At 42.3% G+C, this 22,355-nt stretch overlaps 1 protein-coding gene across 6 annotated transcripts in view; it reads right to left on the bottom strand.

The window, feature by feature from the left end:
• The window catches only part of SHISA9 (shisa family member 9), a 661,420-nt gene that overhangs the window by 582,546 nt on the left and 56,519 nt on the right, over positions 1-22,355 (bottom strand). The gene's annotated exons all lie outside the window — the stretch shown is intronic.

Genomic DNA, 22,355 nt, shown 5'->3' with positions numbered 1-22,355 from the left:
AGAAATTATCTTGATGTCAGAATTTTTCATCAGCAATGCTAGATGCAAGAATACATGAAGTAATATTTTCAAATAATCAAATGAGAAAAATAGAACTTAACATATTATATCCAATTAAGCTGTCATTCAAATATGAAAGTACAATAAAAATATTTTCAGATGTACGAGACCTCAAAGATTTGCCATAGAAAGCCCCAAATTAAAACTACTTTTGAATAAATTACACGAATAAGAGGAGAGACATACAGTGGAGATGGTACCAGATGTACAGATGCATATAATCAAATGCCTTGGTAAAGTTTGACGCTGTCTTTAAAGAGTAGCTAAGACCAAATTTTTAAAAGATCATAAAAAGGGAAATTATATCTATAAAAGCACAGGATTAAAAGTCGCAAAACCCTACTCAAAGTGTGGTTCCTTGAATCAGTAGCCTCAGCCTCATCTGACCTTGTAAAAATACAGGAACTTAAACCCCATTCACAACCTGCTGAAAAAGACTCTGCATTTAATATGATCCCCAGGAGATTTGAATGCACATTAAAGTTTGAGAATAGATAATATCAACCTAAAAGAAGTCGTAGTAAAGAAGGAAGAGAAAAAAGGGATGGGAGAGCATGCTAAGCTCGTATTTTATTAGAGGGAAATACAGGCATCTATTTTTGAGAAGAAAACAAGGATGAAAAATTTAAAAAGTGAAACAGACAGAAAGAAACTTAAATGGATAAACAGCAGTCAAAACAAATGTACCACAGCAACACACAACGTTATAGATAAATCTTAGTAAGTGAGGAAAAAAAAGAAAAGAAAATTCCAAAGGATAATATACAGCATGATACACCATAAAATTAAAAAGCAAGCAACATAAAAATATACACGTTCAAGACTATACGAGAAGCAATACAGATATCAAAAGGAAAACAAGTAAATGACGAACCAAGACTGATGATACAAAACTATGTGGTTAGAAGCACATTATTGTCAATATTCTAGCTTTCGTTTGGAGCATGGGCTCACAGGCGCTTATCACATTATTAAAAATAATGAACTATAACTATTAAATATAATTAACTAGACAAAAGCAAGTCCTGCATGGAACGATGGGAGTATGTCATAAACCAAGACTCATAAGCAGTCCAGTTTTGTGTCCCTAAGGTCAAAAAAAAAAAAAACTTCAGCACCAGGCACAGTGTCTTGCATATAGCAGATACTCGAAAAATGTTTCTGGAATTAATCATTACTTTGACAACAATGTAAGGATCTATCAGAGTGAGATCAGGCAAAGACCAGCAGAGAGGGTGTGGCTATAAACCATGCAAGAATTGCTGAAGGCAGGAGCGATGGGAACAATCAAGGAGAGGGTGGTGTCTGAAGGTTTAATGCAATGTAGAATCCACAGGACTCGATGACTGATTAGACGTGGAGATTGGGAGGAGAGATGAGTCAAGGTGTATAACGAGGATTTGGGATCCCAAAAACAGATCATGAGCCATTTCATGTCTCACTGTTTTGTTCCCCCAACATTTCATTATGGAAACTTCTCCAGATACAGAAAATTTTAAAGAAATGTGTGGTGAACACATACATACTAACCATCTAGATTCTACAATTACTACTTGGGTGTATTTTGTCTCACACTCATCTATCCTTCTATCCATCCCTCCAGCCACTCATCAATCCATATATTTTTAAGGAAGCGGTTCTGTTACATTGCAATGGGAAGAAAACAAATTTCAAAGAAAATATCTCATCTCCTTAAACACAGAAACCAAATGGTCTACGATGATGTCAAGCCATCTCCTCATCCAAGGTGATGAGACACTGCTTCAAAACACTCCTTTGGGGCTATTTATCACATCATTCACATTAATAATAAGCAGATTACTTTGGAAGCAAATATTGATGTCCTTAATTGTTGTTTATGGGAGTTTTATGGAAGTAGTAATGTGCATCACTGGCAGTTGCTCTGCAGTTTGGAAATGCACTCACTGCCTAATATTTCAAATTATTTACCATCTACATGGAGAATAATTACATTCTGCATGCTTCAAATAATATTCAGACATCAGTTACAATCAACATCTACTCCTTGGGTTACGTAGTAGTCTTCCTTCTCTATATAAATCGGCTATCATAATTTGATGAAACAGGGCTGCACTTATGAAAATTCTTTCCCAGGGGAGACTAGAAGTCATGCTCATTTCTTCCAGAATAAACAGTAAGCTGTTGGATGATTCTATACCATGTCAGTGGTGCCATTTTGGTAGATGATGGTAGGGTCTATACAGGGGTCAAATTCAGGTTTCCATTTTATTTTCTGGAGAAAAGCATCCCATTGTTGTGTCATCTGCCCATTTCCAAGTACTCCCTTTCTGTTTGTTTCTCTTGCCTGTCTTTGCACCAACTAGTCCCTCTGCAAAAATCCTACCTCTCCCCCATCTTTATTCACCCACTTCACTTCTCATTCTTTTTTTCTTATGCTTTCTTTTTTTTAAAATTTTAAGTTCCAAGGTACATGTGCGGGATGTGCAGGTTTGCTACATAGGTGAATGTGTGTCATGGTGGTTTGCTGTACAAATCATCTCGTTACCTAAGTATTAAACCCAGCATGCATTAGCTATTTTTGCTGATGCTCTCACTCTCCCCCCTCCCCACCCTCAATAGGCCTCAGTGTGTGTTGTTCCCCTCCCTGTGTCCATGTGTTCTCATTGTTCAGCTCCCACCTATAAGTGAGACCATGCGGTGTTTGGTTTTCTGTTCCTGCATTAGTTTGCTGAGGATAATGGCTTCCAGCTCCATCCATGTCCCTGCAAAAGACATGATCTCATTCCTTTTTATGGCTGCATAGTATTTTCCATGGTGACAGGTACCACATTTTCTTTATCCAGTCTATCACGGATGGGCATTTGGGTTGATTCCATGTCTTTGCTATTGTGAATAGTGCAGTAATGAACATACACGCGCATATATCTTCATGATAGAATGATTTCTATTCCTTTGGGTATATACCCAGTAATGGGATTGCTGGGTCAAATGGCATTTCTGGTTCTAGGTCTTTGAGGAATTGCCACACTGTCTTCCACAGTGGTTTTAACTTCTCATTCTTTACAACATTGCTCAAATGTCAGTCCCCAAGAAGTCTTACCTGATTCCCCTAAGTTGAACTGTGCTCTCCCCATCACCACTTCTTCCCCCTATCATGAATTCCCTGAGAGCAAGGGCCATTTCTTTCATTTACGCAACCCCAGTGCCTACTATAGGATTATCCACCCAGGAACCCAGCCCAACCGAGCCTCCATTGTCTGGAACACAGCCCGTCTCCAAGACAGGGGGAAGAGACTGCAGTGAGTCACACAGTGGCTCTTAAAGGCTTCCATTCACATTTCACTGGCAACAGTAAGTCATATGGCCAAACCTCAGGGGCCTTGGAAGAAAAGTGTCCAAGGCATTCTCTGCTCGCACTGCTCCCTCTTTTTTCATGTCTCTCAAGCTTACAATGTTCTCCTCCTCCAGAGAAACCACGCAACCCTCAATGTTCTTTTGATTCATTGTTAAGTGCCACTTCTTTCTAAAAGCTGCCCCTGGCTCACTTTCAGCCACTCTCTGAGGTCCCAAATATTTCTTCCCTCTTCCACCATGCTGTTTCATTTCCTCTGCTTGGGGTGACATTCCAGGCAAAGCCACAGGTGAAATTAGGGCAGGGCTAACTCAACCATGATGTTTTGCTGTCTGCCACTGTCACACTCACCTGCTTGAAACCTGCTTGTTACTTACTTACCCCCTGCAAGGCACACTCGAAATAGAAAGCAACATCTACACCTTAGAACACCTAAAATGATTCAGAGAGATTCTGAGAATGAGGAAAGTACCTTCAGCCTGAATATCTAGAGTAACTGAATTTCAGAGGAATTCAGTGTCTTTCCAAATCCCCATGATTCTGTTGACACAGGAGCGGAATAGGAATTAGTCAGAAAGCAATGCTCAGTCTCAAACCTTTCAAGCTAAAGATGATGCACCCATGTCAATGGCTCAAAAGAACAGAAGAAAATCCAAAGAGCCACACCCATAAAAAATTAACGAGTTTGGCCAGGCATGGTGGCTCATGCCTGTAATCCCAACGCTTTGGGAGGCTGAGGCAGGCAGATCACTTGAGGCCAGGAGCTCAAGATCAGCCTGGCCAACATGGTGAAACCCTGTCTCTACTAAAAATACAAAAAAAGTTAGCTGAGTGTGGTGGCGCACACCTGTGGCTCCAGCTAGTCGGGAGGCTGAGGCACAAGAATCTCTTGAACCCGAGAAGCAGAGGTTACAGTGAGCCGGGATCACGCCACTGCACTCCAGCCTGGGTGACAAAGCAAGACTCTGTCTCAAATAATAATAATAAGTTTATTTTTCTAGAGCAATAAGTAGGAAAGACAACTCATGAATTTGCAGCCAACCCATGATTGGTTCCAACATGTTGCCAAGTGAAACTAATTGAGAATCACAGTAAAAGTTTGATTAGTCAGGATGCCCCGGGTCATCAGATTTGCTGATGAATTAAAATTTAACTAAAAGTTTCTGTTGGCTTAATGTTCACTGGCAAAAAAAAAAAAAATTGCTGTTCAAATAAATGAAGCTATTATCCTTCTTTATCACTCAGGCCACTAAGCATGGCTTCAAGTCCTTCAAGGATGACCAAGAATCTTTCCAAATATCTGGGCCATCTTCCCTCTTTTTCCAGTCCCCCCTCCCAGCCCCACCTACAATTTCCATCTTAAATTCACCAATTCCTGATTAGGCCAGGCCTATTCATAGTGACATGCCCTTACCCCCCCCGCCCCCGTCCCACCCCACCCATTTACCATTGCCTGAATGCCTTTCACTGGTCATTATCACCTAAATATGTTTATTAATCCTTAAACACACAACTTGCATAAATCCAATTATTCTGACAGAGCTAATAACTCTATTCCTTTTTCCTTTCTTTCTTTTTATGGAGTCTCACTCTGTTGCCCGGGCTGGAGTGCAGTGGCGCAATCTCAGCTCACTGCAACCTCCACCTCTGGGTTCAAGCGATTCTCCTGCCTTAGCCTCCTGAGTAGCTGGGATTACAGGTGCCAGCCACTACACCTAGCTATTTTTTTGTATTTTTGGTAGAGACAGGGTTTCACCATGTTGGCCAGGATGGTCTCGAACTCCTGACCTTGTGATTCACCGTGAGCCACTGTGCCCAGCCAATACCCTATTCTTGAACGCCCTCCCCAACACTTTGATTATGTGAACATAATAGCTGTATGTGAACTGCCCCTCTTCCACTGGGTACAGTTTTAGTGGAATTATCAGCAAAGATAACAACACACACTTAAACAAAAGCCCCTCAAGAGCAGGGAATGTTGCTCAGATAAGTAAACACAGTGCCCGGTCACAACAGGTGCTCAACAAATATTTGTCAGATGGATTAATTAATCAATTAATTAAAATATTGTGCATGTAGGTTAACAAGGTACCAATGCTGGAATCTCAGCTGGCTCCATAGCAACCCTGAAAGTTTATATAAATATAGAGAGATAGATATAGATACAGATATGGATGTGATAGATGTAAATGCAGATAAATATAGAGTTATAGATGTAGACATATATAGTTTCAGGTTCAGAATAATTTTCATAATAAGCAACCTAAGAATCCCAGTGAACTGAAGATTCTGATAAATTACAATTTCACATAGACTTAGAAATCACTTGCTAGATGGGAGGCCGAGGCAGGTGGATCACCTGAGGTCAGGAGTTCAAGACCAGCCTGGTCAACATGGCAAAACCCCGCTCTACTAATAATAAAAATTAGCTGGGCATGGTGGTGGGTGCCTGTAATCCCAGCTACTCAGGAGGCTGAGGCAGGAGAATCGCTTGAACCTGGGGGTTGGAGGTTGCAGTGAGCCAAGATTGCACCACTTCACTCCAGCCTGGGCGACAGAGCGAAACTCCGGAAAAAAAAAAAAAAAAAAAAAAAAAAACCACCAGAAATCACTTGCTAGCCATGGCTTATATGGACATGAAAGTCATATTCTTAATTTTTAGAAACTATAGTCTGTGTTTTTAGGGAGTCTTGGTCATTTTTGCCCGCCTGGTTTCCATGCCTCCTTCTTTGGGTAAGAACATGTCAATTTTCCTTTAGGGAACTACCTCTCTTCCATTGGATAAAATTTTAGAGAAATTATCAATAAAGATGTCCTGCCCTCTCCTGGCCAAGGAGTGGCCCAAGCTTGTCCAGATATACGCTTTCTCCCCATAATTTGAGTCATGAGCAGTGAATACAAGGACGGACGCTAGATAGGACTTCATTGCCGTTCTCTAGGGACCTTGGAACTCCCTGGTCCCTTTTCTTCCTAGGCCTTCCACTTTCTAATTGGTCTCTTTGGCTTACCACCAAAGAATCCTGGCAGGCAGTGCTGGAGACCCTTGACTTGTGTCTTCAGCCCACTCTGGGCCTCACTTCCAATAATACTTTGATGCCACTTATGCATAATAAGGAAAGCAAGCATACTTTTATGCCACAGGCAACAAAATCCAGAAGGGTGCTTGAAGAATACGTTACTAATCCCCTCCAGATAATATCCACACAAGAGAAGAGCCTTTTTCGAGGCTATACAGACAATTAGTGGCAAAACTTAGACCAGAACATAGCCTTCTGAAGTCCCAATTCAGTGCTCTTTCCACTGTGCCCAAATCAGTGCTACTATCCCCACCTCTAGGAGTCTTAATGTAAATATTTATAGTTTAAAATTTCTTAAGAATCATTCACTAGTAGGTAGAGTGGTTGGAAAAGTTCAATGTGTTACATATACACAAGTTGCTTAGCTCATAGGCACTAAAAAAAAGCAACTATCACTAGCATCTGCAGATTTTATTAAGTTCATTTTTGTCTGCAGGAGGAAGGAGAGTGATGGGATGAATTAGTCTGATGCCTCCCAGTTGTCTGCCAAATCTCTGCTCTGAAGTCGAAATGTTTCACTCATCCAGTGACTGCCCAAATGGAATTAACTAGCGTAGTCTGTAGCCTATATCTTTATGGAAGTTAAGAATCACTTCCCAAGCAGCACTAGAATTGAACTCTCCAGCGAAACAACAGGCACATGTTTCTTGACTTTCTATTTCCCTGAAGAATCAGTTCAGTCCAGAGGGCCCTCCTGATCCCATATCATTCCAGGAAACCTGTTAGCATTTGAAAAGGAAAAGAAGGGCAAAAGGAAAACTTTCTGTGAATATGGGATTCAGCTGCCAGGCTCCTCAGGGAAAGTGAATAGGATCCTTCATGAGTCCCTGCTTTTATTCTTGCTAACAAAATCTATTATTTTTTGTGTGGGGGGAGCGGAGGGGTGAAATGGAATCTTGCTCTGTTGCCCAGGCTGGAGTACAGCGGCACAATCTCAGCTCACTGCAACCTCCGCCTCCCAGGTTCAAGCGATTCTCCTGCCTCAGCCTCCCAAGTAGCTGGGATTACAGGCACCCACCACCACGCCTGGCTAATTTTTGCATTTTTAGTAGCTACAGGGTTTCACCATGTTGGCCAGGCTGGTCTTGAACTCATGACCTCAAGTGATCCTCCCACCTCGGCCTCCCAAAATGCTGAGATTACAGGAGTGAACCACTGCACCCAGCCACAAAATCCATTCTTTAAAAAAGCATTACCCAATCTTACCATCCACTGCACCAACACCCTCACTATTTCCTGGGTCACTTATAATTGCATTATCCAATATGGTAGCCGATAGCTACATGCAATTATTCAAATTTAACTCTGAATTAGTTAAAATTAAATAAAATTAAGAATTCAGTTTCTCAGTTGCATTACCCGCATGTCAATGGTCCAACAGTCACATAAGATTAGTGCCTGCTATATTGAATAGAACAGACACGGAGTATTTCCACCTTCATGAGAAGTTGATTTGGACAGTGCTGACTTAGAAGAAAGTCTAAACTCCTTGCTGGAGTCTAAAAGATTCTGTATGATTCATCCTTCCAACATCCCTCACCTCATTATATATCACTCTCATCCTTGCTCACTTAGTGATATACGGAGGTGTGGGTGAGGAAGATGACCCAACCCACAGTGGCCACTCATTTGGTTTTAGGACTTGCCAGACTTTGTTTCTACCTTGGGACCTCTGCACCTGTGGTGCTTCTTGGCTGGAATACTCTTTCATTCTGCTCTTCTGTTTCCTCTTATCTTTCTGTTTTTAATTAAAATATTCTTTCCAGAGAGCCTTCCCTGATCACTCTTGCTAATATATGACACTACCCTTTAAATGTGAGTGCTTACAACCATTGGAAATGATCATAATTTATTTTTATTTACCTTTATTTATCATTATTTATTTTTATTTACATTTTTCCTCCACTTGCCCCTCTCAACACACACACACACACACACACACACACACACACACACACAAACTCCAAGAGAGCAGAGATTTTGCCTAATTTACTTATAACCATATCCCCAATGTCTAGAATTGTGTCTGGCATAGATTAAGCATGCAAGAGAAATTTTTGTGGACTAATTAGACTACAATGCAAAGACAGACCGGAATCTATAGGACAGTTCTCTAAAGAGAAAGCTAAAAGGAATAAACCTGGGTACCACTAAAATTGAGCTAAACACTGATCTGGAAAGGAGCTAAGAAGGTCTTTATTATATTAGCTTTCCTTATTTCTGCAGGATTTTCCTTACTTTGGCTGCTTTGATGAATTGCACCAAAGATCCACCCCTACAACAATGATGATGGCATTCATAATAATGGCAGTCATAAAATTAATCTGGTACGATATGTCGTTCCTACAGCCCCTGCTCCTAAAGAGAGATGATCCACACAACAGCATGGGGTGAGTAGGGAGATTTATAAAGTGTTTAAAAAACAGCATCCCCAGAGCACAGGGAGGAGGCTTGCCTCCCCAGTTATGCAGCAAATTAGGTCACAGTTCCCCACCCCATCCTCTCCCAAGCTTCAGTGGCTGACTCATCCTTCGTGGGAAGACCTCTCTCCCATTCAAGACTGGGCAGCCAGCCAAGAGACAAGAGGGTTTCTGCCTGCCTCTCCAACCCAGCTGGGCACAGTCTCTGTCTCCCCCATAACCTCCTTCCCCATCTGTGCTCCGAGGTGATCTCAGCTTCCTGGCTACTGGCAAAGGCTTCAGGATTTACTAGACAGCCCTAGGAAACAGGCAAGCTGAGAAGTCCTCAACAGCCTTAGCTACACAGAGTCCTGATTTGGAGGGGGGATAAGGGCAGCAGGTGTCACCTTTTAAATATTTGCCCCGAAGTTTTAGTCTTGAAGTTTAGGCTGGAAAATTAGTACCTGTGCAGACAGCTAAAAGAGAGACTTAGCAATGCCTAGCTTCCTGCCAGGATCCCAGGTGGGTGTCTTTCGAGATTTCCTGGTTCTTCTCCTGTCCAAATTCCCTCAGCACTACCAAAGTGTATTCTTCAGTCAATCTCTAACTGTCCACGTGCTGTTTCATTCATTCATTCAACAAATACTTTGCGAGTGCCTCCCATGTATCAGACACTGTTCGAGGCACTGCAGACAAATACAGTAAGTGAATGAAATAGATAAAAATCCCTGCCTCATGGGCTTACATTCTTCTGAACCCACTTTAAAACATATGCCCCGGCCAGGCGCGGTGGCTCACACCTGTAATCCCAGCACTCTGGGAGGCTGAGGTGGGCAGATCACCTGAGGTCAGGAGTTTGAGACCAGCCTGGCCAACACGGTGAAACCCCGTCTGTACTAAAAATACAACAACAACAACAACAAAAATAGCCGGTGTGGTGGTGTGTGCCTATAGTTCCAGCTACTTGGGAGGCTGAGGCAGGAGAATCATTTGAACCTGGGAGGCAGAGGTTGCAGTGAGCTGAGATTGCACCATTGCAGTCCAGCCTGGGCAACAGAGTGAGACTTGGTCTCAAAAAAAAAAAAAAAAAAAAAAAAAAAAAAATATATATATATATATATATATATATATACACACACATATATGTATATATATATGTGTGTATATATATATACATATATGTGTATATATATATATGTATATATATATATACATATATGTATATATATATGTATATATATATATATACACATATATGTATATATATATATATATGTATATATACCCCTAGTGAGAGATAGGGGTCCACTTTCATTCTTCTGCATATGGCAATCCAGTTTTTCCAGCCCATACTTTACCACTACACAATACATCCATGTAACAAATCAGCACTTGTACCCCCTAAATCTGTCATTGAAAAAATATATATATTCCTTAAAAATAAGGATAGTATCTATTATTCTTTTTACTATTATTATTTAATATTTAAATACATAAAGGGAAATAAAGGATAACATAATAAAGCCCATTTATTCACAGTTCAGTTCAAGAAATAAAAAAATTAGGGCTATCCATGAAGCCCCTGTGTGCCTCTCCCCATCTCATTTTTCTCAAGGTATTCGCCATTCTGAATGTAGTGATTATTTTTTCCCTGCATATCTTTTAGATCTGTGACATGGTCCCTAAACAGTTTACTATATTGTTTTGCACGTTCTACATTTTGAATATAGCTTCCAAAACTTACTTTTTTGCGTGCTGATTTAATGAATACAGTTTCAGCTCATTCATTTATTTGTTTTCTGTTTCCAGTGTACACTTCACACTGAAGAACATTTTTTTTGGTGGGGAGGGCGTGGGGATAGAGTCTGGCTCTGTCTCCCAGGCTAGAGTGCAATGGCACGCTCTCAGCTCACTGCAGCCTCCGCCTCCCGGGTTCAAGCAATTCTCCCGCCTCAGCCTCCTGAGTAGCTGGGACTACAGGCATGCTCCACTACTCCCAGCTAATTTTTCTGTTTTTTTAGTAGAGACAGAGTTTCACCATGTTACCCAGGGCTGGTCTCGAACTCCTGGCCTCAGGGGATCCACCTGCCTAGGCCTCTCAAAGTCCTGGGATTACAGGTGTGAGCCACTGCACCCCGCCTGGAGAACAACACTTACAGAAGAGTGTACACTTTATAAGTGCAAGGAGTGATGAATTTCCACCAAGTGAGCACTATAGCATAATCAGCACCCAGACAGAAAAAAAAAAAAAAAATCATCTCCCAAATCCCAGGAGCTCTCTTGTGCTTTTTTTTACATTAACCACCCTCCACCCAGGGTGACAAATTCCATGGCAGGTTCACTGTAGGTGAATGGTGTTTGCTCCAGAATAGAGATTAGCAAACTACAAACTGTGGGCTGAATCGTGTGCACCTCCGTTTTTTTTTCTTTTTTTTTTTTTCTTTTGAGATGGAGTCTTGCTCTGTCACCCAGGACAGAGAGCAGTGGCAGGATCTCAGCTCACTGTAACCTTTGCCCCCTAGGTTCAAGCGATTCTCCAGCCTCAGCCTTCCAAGTAGCTGGGACTACAGGTGCGCACCACCACGTTCAGCTAATTGTTTTGTATTTTTAGTAGAGACGGGGTTTCACCATGTTGGCCAGGCTGGTCTCGAACTCCTGACCTCAGCCTCGGCCTCCCAAATTGTTGGGATTACAGGTGTGAGCCACCATGCCCAGCCTGCACCTCCCATTTTTATAAATAAAATTCTATTGGAACACAGCCACACTCACTCATTTACATATATCATCTATGGCTGGTTTTGCACCACAGTGGCAGAGTTGGGTAGCAACAGACACCCCACATCACTCACAAGCCTAAAATATTTACTACTGAGCTCTTTCCAGGAAAGTTTGCAGATGACCTTTTCCAGAACTTTCCATAAACAGAACCACACACAGTCTGTACACCTTTGTGCCTGGCTTCTCTCACTCAACAGCATATTTGCAAGGTTCACACATACAGTTGTAGCTGTTCATTCTCAAAAATGTATGATATTTCATTTTACGATTACAAAGCAATTTATTTATTCATTCAGCCATTGATGGATATTTTAGTTGTTTCCAGTTTGGGGCTATTATGAATAGTGCTGCTATAAACATTCTTGTCCATGTCTTTTGGTATAGTTCATTCATTGTAATTACTGCAAGGTAATCCATCATATACGTAGACCATAATTTATTTATTCACCCACCTTATAATGGATATTTAGGTCAGTGGTTCTCATACTAGTCTACACATTGGAATTACCCAGGATCTTCAAAACATAGTGACAAATGTGTCCCAGCCTTGAGACTGTGATTTATATGATATGGGATATATGTAGCCTGAGCTCTGGATTTTTTTTTTTTTTTTTTTTTTTTTTTTTTTTTTTTTGAGATGGAGCCTTCCTCTGTCACCCAGGCTGGAGTGCAGTGGTGCCACCTCAGGTCACTGTGAACTTTGCCTCTGGGATTCAACTGATCCTCCCGCCTCAGCCTCCCAAGTAACTGGGATTACAAGCATGTGCCACCACATCCGGCTAATTTTTGTATTTTTAGTAGAGATGAGGTTTCACCATGTTGGCCAGGCTGGTCTTGAACTCCTGACCTAAGGTGATCTACCTGCCTCAGCCTCCCAAAGTGCTGGGATTACAGGCATGAGCCACCATGCCTGGCTTAGCTCTGGAATTTTTTAAAGATCTCCTGGTAATTCTAACATGCAGACAAGTTTGAGAATCACTGATTTAGGTTGTTTCCAATTTTTCCACTATTACCAGCAACATTGCAATAACTGTTATTTGCATGTCTCTCTGTGCCCAGGATCAACAATATCTTTAGGAGCTACACTTAGGAGAGGAATCGATGCTTTGGAGCTCATAGGCATCTTCAATCTCCAGAGTATTTCTTTTTTTTTTTATTTGATGCACTGTTTATTAACAAAATCAACATTGTCCTTGGATGTCCATAACACTGGTTATAAAACAGGGATAATAATATTTATTTATTTTTTATTTTTATTATTATTATTATACTTTAAGTTTTAGGGTACATGTGCACAACGTGCAGGTTTGTTACATATGTATACATGTGCCATATTGGTGTGCTGCACCCATTAACTCGTCATTTAGCATTAGGTATATCTCCTAATGCTATCCCTCCCCGCTCCCCCAACCCCACAACAGTCCCTGGTATGTGATGTTCCCCTTCCTGTGTCCATGTGTTCTCATTGTTCAGTTCCCACCTATGAGTGAGAACATGCGGTGTTTGGTTTTTTGTCCTTGCCATAGTTTGCTGAGAATGATGGTTTCCAGCTTCATCTATGTCCCTACAAACGACATGAACTCATCATTTTTTATGGCTGCATAGTATTCCATGGCGTATATGTGCCACATTTTCTTAATCCAGTCTATCATTGATGGACATTTGGGTTGGTTCCAAGTCTTTGCTATTGTGAATAGTGCGGCAATAAACATACGTGTGCATGTGTCTTTATAGCAGCATGATTTATAATCCTTTGGGTAATAATCCCAGTAATGGGATGGCTGGGTCAAATGGTATTCCTAGTTCTAGAACAGGACCATGTCTTATTCATTTCTGGACCTCCCCAGAGATCATCACAAGTCCTGGCACCCAGGAGGCACCCAGGAAACCTGTTGAATGGCTAGAATCAGGCAAGATTTCAAGAGATTGTCTGGACAGCTAATTATCCTACAGGAAGATGAATATTTAACCACCCAGGACAGATCTGAGTCTTTCCCATGTTCAAAGGCTTGATAACTATGCTGAACATCTTCCTCCAAGGCTTCTTTTTCTTTTCATTCATTTACTCAGTAAATTTTCTTAGCACTTACTCTGTGCCAGGCACTGTGCTGGAAATGAATGAGACAGGGCCTTCTCAGTCTTCCAAGGGGCTAAGTTTTGCATACAGATTATTCCAGAGAAAGGGATATTTTGTACCTTGGCTTCCTAATCTGCAAGTGGGGATAACGAATGCCTTCCTTGTGGAATTGTTATAAAGATTATAAAGCACTGCTGGGCACAGTGGCTCACACCTGTAATCACAACACTTTGGGAGGCTGAGGCAGGAAGATTGCTTGATCCCAGGAGTTCGAGACCAGCCTGGGCAACATGGTGAGACCCTGTCTCTACAAAAAAAGAAAGAACGCACATATCTGGTACATAGTTGGCACTCCTTCTTGTCATACAAGATGCAGAGATAAAGCGCTTTAGGATTTGAGAAGGGAGGAAACTCTTTCATCAGGGAAGATCCAGGAAGGAGATAGCACTGGAGCTTGGTCTTAAAGGCCAAGGGTAGGATTAGGGAAGCAGATGTCCCCTAGGTGAGCAAAATCATAGATGTAGGAAAGTGAAGTATCCAGCACAGAACACATTCAGTTTCAGCCAGTGGTGCCCAACCAGGGAATATTTTGCCCTCTAGGGGACATCTGGCAATGTTTAGAGACAATTTTGGTTGTTACAACTTGGGAAATGCTAATGGCATCCAAGGGATACAGCCCAGAGATGCCAGTAAACATCCTGCAATAGACAAGAAGCCTTCTACAACAGAGAATTATCCAGTCCAAGATGATGCTACAGCCAAGGTCAGGAAACCTCAGTTTCAATGCAGTGAAGTATGAGGTTAAGAAAATGTCCCCTGTTCTTCTATTCCTAAGATAAGCACTTATCGCCCTTTGCTATTTCTTCAATGAAAAACACTTTTTGTCATTCATTTCAATTACAATAGTGTTCTTATTTACTGAGCACTGACTATGTGCTGGGTACTGATGTTTTACATATATCATCTCATTTTATATTCATGAGGATAAAACCCTAGAGGGGAGGTGCCGTTTTATAGAGGACAGTACTCAAACTCGAAAACACCAAGGCCACGTGGCTGCCACGATGTGGGAGGGGGAGTAAACCCCAGACCCTGCACACTCCATTCTATATTGTCTCTCCCTGAAAAAGCAGCCACCTCCTAAGTGACGTTGGAAGCTAGCCAGACCCATTAATTTTTTGCCTGAGTAATTCAGGGTTTGTTCATCTGATTCCAAATCACTTGGGAGAATTGTCTCACAGTTGTATCTCCAGAACTGGTAGAGTGCCTCCCACACGATAGGTGCCCAATAAAAGAGACAGAAAGGAGATCGGTAGTTGCCAAGGGCTGGAGAAAGGAGTAAGGAGGAATGACTGCCAACAAATACAGTGTTTCTTTCTGAGGAGGTGAAAGTGCTCTGGAATTAGGCAGTGGTGATAGTGGAACAATTTTGTGAATATAAGGACAACCACTGAATTGTACACCTTAAAAGGCTGAAATTTTATGGTATATTAATTATACCTCATATATTTCAAACACACATGCATAAATACATGTTTCAGACTTCAAATAGGGCTGTAATATTGATGTAATATGATGTAACACACAATCTCTGAAATTTCCTGGAGGCTGAGATGTCAACACAAAACCAATAACTTGGTGACATTGCTAGACCAAACCTTTCCTGAAGGAAAGGTATATACATATATATATGTATGTGTGTGTATATATAGATAGATATTCATTTATTCGTATGTGCATGGAGATATATATAAGGATAAACTAATGAATCAGCCTAAACATCTACTAGGAGAAATCACCATCATTGATAATCAGTTAATTCCCATGATCACTAATTATATTGCTCTTTTATGCAGAATTATAATAGAAGTATGTTCTCAATTGAGCCTTTTGACAACCCCAAGAAATAAACAGGACAGAAATTATGTTTCCCTCATGCTTACTGTGGAGGGAAACAAGAATCTCAGGGGTTAAGTAACTTCTTTGAGGTTTAACACAGCTAGGAATTCCCTACATTCCCTGTCACGATCTTGAATTGTGTTGATCTGCTCCTCTGTACTCTACAAAAGTCTTGGCAATCTGGTGAATTCTTTCTGTCTCGGGCCAGATTGTGTGTCTGTAAAATATTACCCTTGACCAAGCCACAACATCAGACTTCAGACAGGGCTGTAGTATAAACACATCCTGTCTTAAACTTCCTAGGGGCTGAGCTCTCAAGACAAAACCAAGAAAAACTTGCTGACATTAACATTGCTGGATCAAACCTTTCCTGATGGCCACTGTACCTTTGAACTTTTTAGTTAGGTAGCTAATAAATTCTATTATTTAAGTCAGTTTGAGTTTCTGTTGAAAAAAAAAAAAACAGAAAGTCCAATGTTTTGATTGATACACCATCACCCCTGTGGTTTGTACACCTCTGGTGCTCCATGGAATTAATTTGGGACCTTTTTCATTTGGTCAGGCAATGGATAATTTATTGAATGCCTGCTGTGTGCTAAAGCCCTAGGTGTGAAAACAGTGGACACATTCTTGTTTCCTTCAAGATCAGCTCCATCTGTATCTTGGTTCTAAATCCTTTTCAAATTTAGCACCTTAGACCAGATCTGGCAATGCACTGATTCTTAACATATTCAGAACAGACCTAGGGCCTGGCCCAACTTCAGCAGCAATTTGTTCTAATGAAAACCATGATCTGTCAGTGTTATTAGTCTGTAAGCAGTAGCACTTTGAAGATTCCTTGTTCACAGGAAGGTTTTCATTTACTTAATTATGAGGCTATGACTTGAAGGGCTTCTGAAGCCCCCTTGGTGAGGACCAGAGGGAAGGGATTACATAAATGGTTCTTCCCTCGGCTATGACATCCAAAACATGTAAAAATGCTTGCTTTAATGCCTTCTGCCTGAGGTGAGCATAAGCTAACTCGGGGCTAAATTTTCTGCCGTTCACAACTCAACTCAAAAGCTTCCACCTGTATGATACTTTGTGAAACCTAGACTGGAGAGCCAGAAATGGAAGTATTTAAATCCCACCTGGCACCTTCCTAGCCTTATAATCATAAGCCAGTTATATAATCCCTTTGTGCCTCAGTCTCCACATTTACAAAATGGGAGAACTAATAGTAGCTACCTCCAAGTGTTATGATGAAAATTAAATGACACAAGTATATAAAACATTTAGGAAGGCACTTGGCACATAATAAGGATTTGATGAATGTCAACTATTATTAATTATCCCACACACTGAACAATCTTTCTCTCCAACTCCCTGCCAGCCATATGGTCTCCCTCATACTTTTATGACATCCACCCTGATGTTATGGTTATTTACGTCTGTGTCACATCTCTTGCTACACTAGGAGCTCCTGAAGACAAAGGCCATGTTGCATACACATTTGGTCTCCAGCCCCCAGCTTTTCTTGGAGGAAAAGACAGAGACTATGACCTTGTTTACATCTCCTTCCACCCCCAATACTGGGTCCTGCAGAGATGCACTCCATGTCCTCACCATTCCCACTCATCTCATCACAACAGGCACACATTATCTCACAACAAACTGTCAGCTGACAACTAAGAACAAATGGCACTTAAAGTGCCTACACCCAGGCTCCTGCTTCCCTCAGGCACCTCTGACTGCAAGCAACAGAAACAACTGTGGCGAACCTAAGCAGAAAGGGGTGTGATTGTGTGGACCCAAGGTTGCTAACAGAGTGGACCTGAAGGCTGGAGGACTGGGCTTGGCAGTAGGATCAGGATGGGGCAACAGAAATTGTGCTCCCTCCCTGTATTTCCTGAGCACCCCAGTGGAAGGAGGGTACTGGACTAAAAGAATCTACTCAAGAGGCCAGGCCCTGAAAGAAGAGCTCTGAGTGGTCACACAGCTACCCCTGGTCAGGCCCAACAAGATACACCTAGGAAGGGGGATGTAACTTTCCAAATGAAAATCAGGGTGATTCAAAGTGGCGAGGGGAAATGTATGCTGTCTTAGTCCATTTGGGCCACCATAACACAATACCATAGACCAGTTGGCTTAAACAACAGACATTTATTTCTCACAATTCTGGAGGCTGGGAAGTCCAAATCAAGGCAGCAGCACATTTGGTTCCTGGTGAGGGCTCCCCTCCTGTTTTGCAGATGACACCTTCTTACTATGTCCCAATGGGGCAGACAGGGAGAAAACTCTGCTCTTTCTCTTTCTTCTTATAGGGGCACTAATTCCCTCATGGGAGCTCCACCCTCATGATATTCTAATCTAACTCTAATTATCTCCCAGGGGCCCTCTAAATATCAGCATATTGGGGGTTAGAGTTCCACATATGAATTTGCAGGAAGACCCAAACATTCAGTCCATAACACAAGTGAACCTGGCAACTATCATTCATGCAACTGGGGAACTGGGAAATAATGGTGAGGAAGCTCAGAAAACCCAGAATGACAGCAGCCTGAAGGCCTGGGGTCAACCCTGACTCTGGCTCTCTCACTGTCTGTGTGCAAGTCCTTGAACCACTCTGAGTCTCAGTTTCCCCTTCCTGCCTCCTAGGGCTGTTGTCTTGAGAATTTGAGATCATGTGTATGAAATGACAACAGACAGCACCAGCACATGATGGCCAGGCAGTGGACAGCAGTGCCTTCGCATCGACTGGAGTAAGCCAGGCCAGTGCAGGCAAGACGGGCCAAGCACCAGTCCTCAGCAAGTAAGTCCAGCCATGCCAGAGACCTCCATGCTGGGAGCTCTGATGTTGACGTCGCCACAGGGACAGACACTGATCCCATTTTAATTATTCTTACCAGGCCCGAGGTTCTGGCCACTTGGTTCTCAGTCTCAGTCATGCTGGAAGACTGGAAGGTGTGACTCCCTGGCAGAGAAAGGCCAGCTGTAGCAGGTGTGTGTGATCACACCTGACAGCCACCCAATCTGCAGGGCTCAGCTGAAACCTGACTTGTCGCAAGGAACTCGCTGTTCACAGGAGAGAGCTGATTGGAGGGAAATTTCTAGTGCACTGAACTCCTGTGCCTTCTGGGGCTGATTTATGGGTTGCTTTTGGCAGGGGAATGGGCTCTGTGTTCACTAACATTTTGTAATATATGATGCGGTCACTGTTCTCCTTCTTTCTCCTTCTTCCCCCTTCTTTCTTCAGCTGAAAAACTCTGTTCTCTTCCTCAGTTTTGGCCGGGGTGCTCTGGGGACCTTTCCACATCAGGATACAGACACATCCTTTTTCTGTTACATCTGCAGAGCGTGCCATTGTGAGGAGGTAATATGGTTTATTTAATCCACTCCGTGTTGATGGAACCGCCTCCACTTCTGGCCTCAAGTGGCCTTCCAGAAATGGAATTCTGACTGTGTTATTCTCTGGCTCAAATTCCTTCCATGGATCTCCATTGCCGTCAAGAAAAACACCAGACTCTTCCTCGTGGCATCTGAGACCTTGTGTGATGTTTATGTTCACCTCTCCATGTTCCACTCCGCTACCTCTGCTCCCACCATTCTGGCCTCCTGTCCATCCCTCCAAAGCCCTAGGCCACTCCCCACTCAAGGTTGTCCCTGCACCATGCAGTTCCCTCTGCCTGGGTTGCTATTCCACTGTCTCCCTTCCTTCAGCTGGTCATTCCCACTCATCCTCCGGGTCTCAGCTAAAGCCTGGATTCCCCAGGAAAACGTCCCCTGACCCCTGACCCCTGACCAAATTCCCTCATTCCACACTCTCCTTTCATCATCCCCCCCACATGTTACAGATATAATTACACAAATGATTGCACTGCTAGCTGTTTAGTGTCTGCCCCCCACCACTCCCAAAATAGACTCAAAGCCTTGTGAGAGCAGGAAACGTGTTCACTTTAATTCATCACTGAGTCCCCAAAGCCTATAAAGCGCTTGGCACATTACCAAAATGTTCCTGGAAGGAAAGGAAAACAGGGCTGAGATAGGGAAGAAGGATGAGAGGGAGAGAGAGGGTTGGAGAGGAGGGAAGAGGACGGAACTGGAAGAAAAGGGAGGACAGGTGAGGGGAGGAGATGAAAAGGAAATTAGAATGGATATTAGCTCCCACTTAAAAGTGAGAACACATGATGTGCGGTTTTCTGTTCCTGAGTTAGTTTGCTGAGGATAATGACTTCCAGCTCCGTCCATGTCCCTGCAAAGGACATGATCTCATTCCCTTTTATGGCTGCATAGTATTCCATGGTGTATATGTACCACATTTTCTTTATCTAGTCTATCATTGATGGGCATTTGGGTTGATTCCATGTCTTTGCTATTGTGAATATTGCTGCAATGAACATATGTGTGCACGTATCTTTAGAATAGGGTGATTTCTATTCCTTTGAGTAAATATCCACTAACGGGATTGCTGGGTCAAATGGTATTTCCAGTTCTAAATCTTTGACAATGGCACACATTTACCCACATAACAAACCTGCACATCCTGCACATGTACCCTGGAACTTAAAAAAAATAATAAAATAATTTTTTAAATGGATATTTGCAAATTGCCTGTACCTGGCACTACGCTAGACATTGTGACGGAGGGAAAAAGAATGACAAGTAGGAAAATCTTGTTTGCAGTCTAAGTGGAGATAATTCCTTTACACAAGAAAATGTAACCAGGGTTCAAGGCTGCATGATATCAGGGCCAAACGCCAAATGAGCACACCACGCAAGTAAACACATAAGAAACGTGAAGGCTGTTTTGACCTATTTATAAGGCATTTCTTCAAAGGAAATGCGTAGTTCCAAATACTATATAATTAGAAGACATAATTCCTATTCCTGAAGGAAACCTTTGCACTTTAACATCTAATTTTAAATGTAAACTATCTTTGTGTGGCTGGTTATTAATTTTTTAAAAAGCATTTCAATTCAAAATAAACAGTATTATGTTCCTCCCCCAAACTCATATGTAGAGTGCGGAAACTGTTGGCTGAAAGGCGAGGGCAGCAGGGCAGAGCTGTGCAAAGAGCCCCAGGAATAGAAGGTTGAAGGTCTGGGCTCTACTTGGCTCTGCCACTCATTTGCTGGGTCATCTCGAGCATGGCAGTTCAACCCCCACCCTAGGGGCCTCAGTTTCCCCTTCTACACAATGGAGCTGAATGAAATGATGAGTTAAGGAGGTTCAAGTTCTAACAATGGTTATCTCTCTCCGCCCTGGTTTTTGACCCCTATAGAGGGAAGCCCGTGTCTCAAGTCTGAGCTCTGTTTTTTCTCGAGTCTGAGCTCTGTTTTTTCTCCAGCTGCCCTGAGTTTTTTCTTTTCCTCGAAAGAGGACTACAGTGGACAGTAGAGGGGTGATTCCATCAGAGGTTTCTACAGAGTTTGCAAAGTCATAGCCTTCCCTAGCTTTTCCTCTGCTGATGTGGATACCCCAGAGGAAGCACCTAGCAAATGTTTTCTCAGTGAGTGAAATGAATAAATAAATTAGCTAATGGATCTTTCCTACTGAAGCTAACCAGCTTAACCAGCACCCTGCAGAGGCTGGACATATATCCAATGCCTCTAGTCTTGCATTCCATTCCTTTTTTTGGAATCAGGTTCATTATTAATCCAGTAAAATATTTATGGAGCATCTATGATTAACCAGGCACAGAAAATACAGCATTGAACAAACAAATCCAAACAGGCTCTTAAAACACAAATCAGGTCATGTCACTCCTCTATGGAAAATCCTCCAATGGTTTCCCATTGCAATATAAGATTCCAGCTCTGTACCATGGCCTTTAAGGTTTTGCCCAAGGCTTCCTTTCTGACATTGTCTTGTGTCATCATACCCATTGCCCCCTATACCAGCCACACTGGCCCAGCTGGGATCAGCTAAATCATGGCCAACCCTCAGACCCAACTCTCATGGGAGAAAGAAAAATACTGTTTGTTGATGTAACGTGCTGAGACCTGGGGGTGGGGGGAGTATTTGTTATGCAGCATTATTGCCATAATAGCTGACTAGTACAGAGTACTGCCATTTACTAGATACATAATTTCAGGAAAGTCTTCTAACCTCTTTGAACTTCAGTATGCTTTTAAAGATACATTCATATCTTCCCAGCTGACCTCATGTAGTGACTGTGGAACAACAGATGAAAAGGGCTTTGAAAACTGTAAAAGCCTATTGCAAATATAAGACAGCATCATAAGCACCAGTCTTGCCAGCCCAGACCCAGGGGAAAGTCTGTTGCTGTCCTGACAACAGAGCATGACTCAGCAGTCCAACACCAGGCCATCTATTATGAAGACATATTGTGTCCAGCACATACCCACTCTGAACTGAGGCCCACACTCTGGGCAAATTTCCTCCTGGCATGCCAAAGCAGAGATTTGGGCTTCAGGGGGAAATTTCCACAAGCCAGGAATCAAAAGAGATTTTTACTTCTAAGACTTTATCTGAGAGAAACAATCACAGGTGCACACAAGGTTGGAAGTACAAGGATGTCCATTAGAATTTTGTTTATAATGATGAAAAATGGAAAGCAACCTAGATGTCCAACAATAGAAACTAGATAAATCCATGGTGTACATCCATGCAATGGAATACCGCACTACCTTTAAGATATTGTCAGATGATAACGGTTTTGCAAACAATGCTCCTTGGAAGCCTACAGGAGATTCACAGAAGTGATGTCGGGGCCCATTTGGGCAAAAGA

Source organism: Homo sapiens, chromosome 16 (assembly GCF_000001405.40).
Source record: "Homo sapiens chromosome 16, GRCh38.p14 Primary Assembly".
Lineage (NCBI taxonomy): Eukaryota > Metazoa > Chordata > Mammalia > Primates > Hominidae > Homo > Homo sapiens.
The sequence above is the reverse complement of the archived record's forward strand: the minus strand, read 5'-3'. Positions and strand labels throughout refer to the sequence as shown.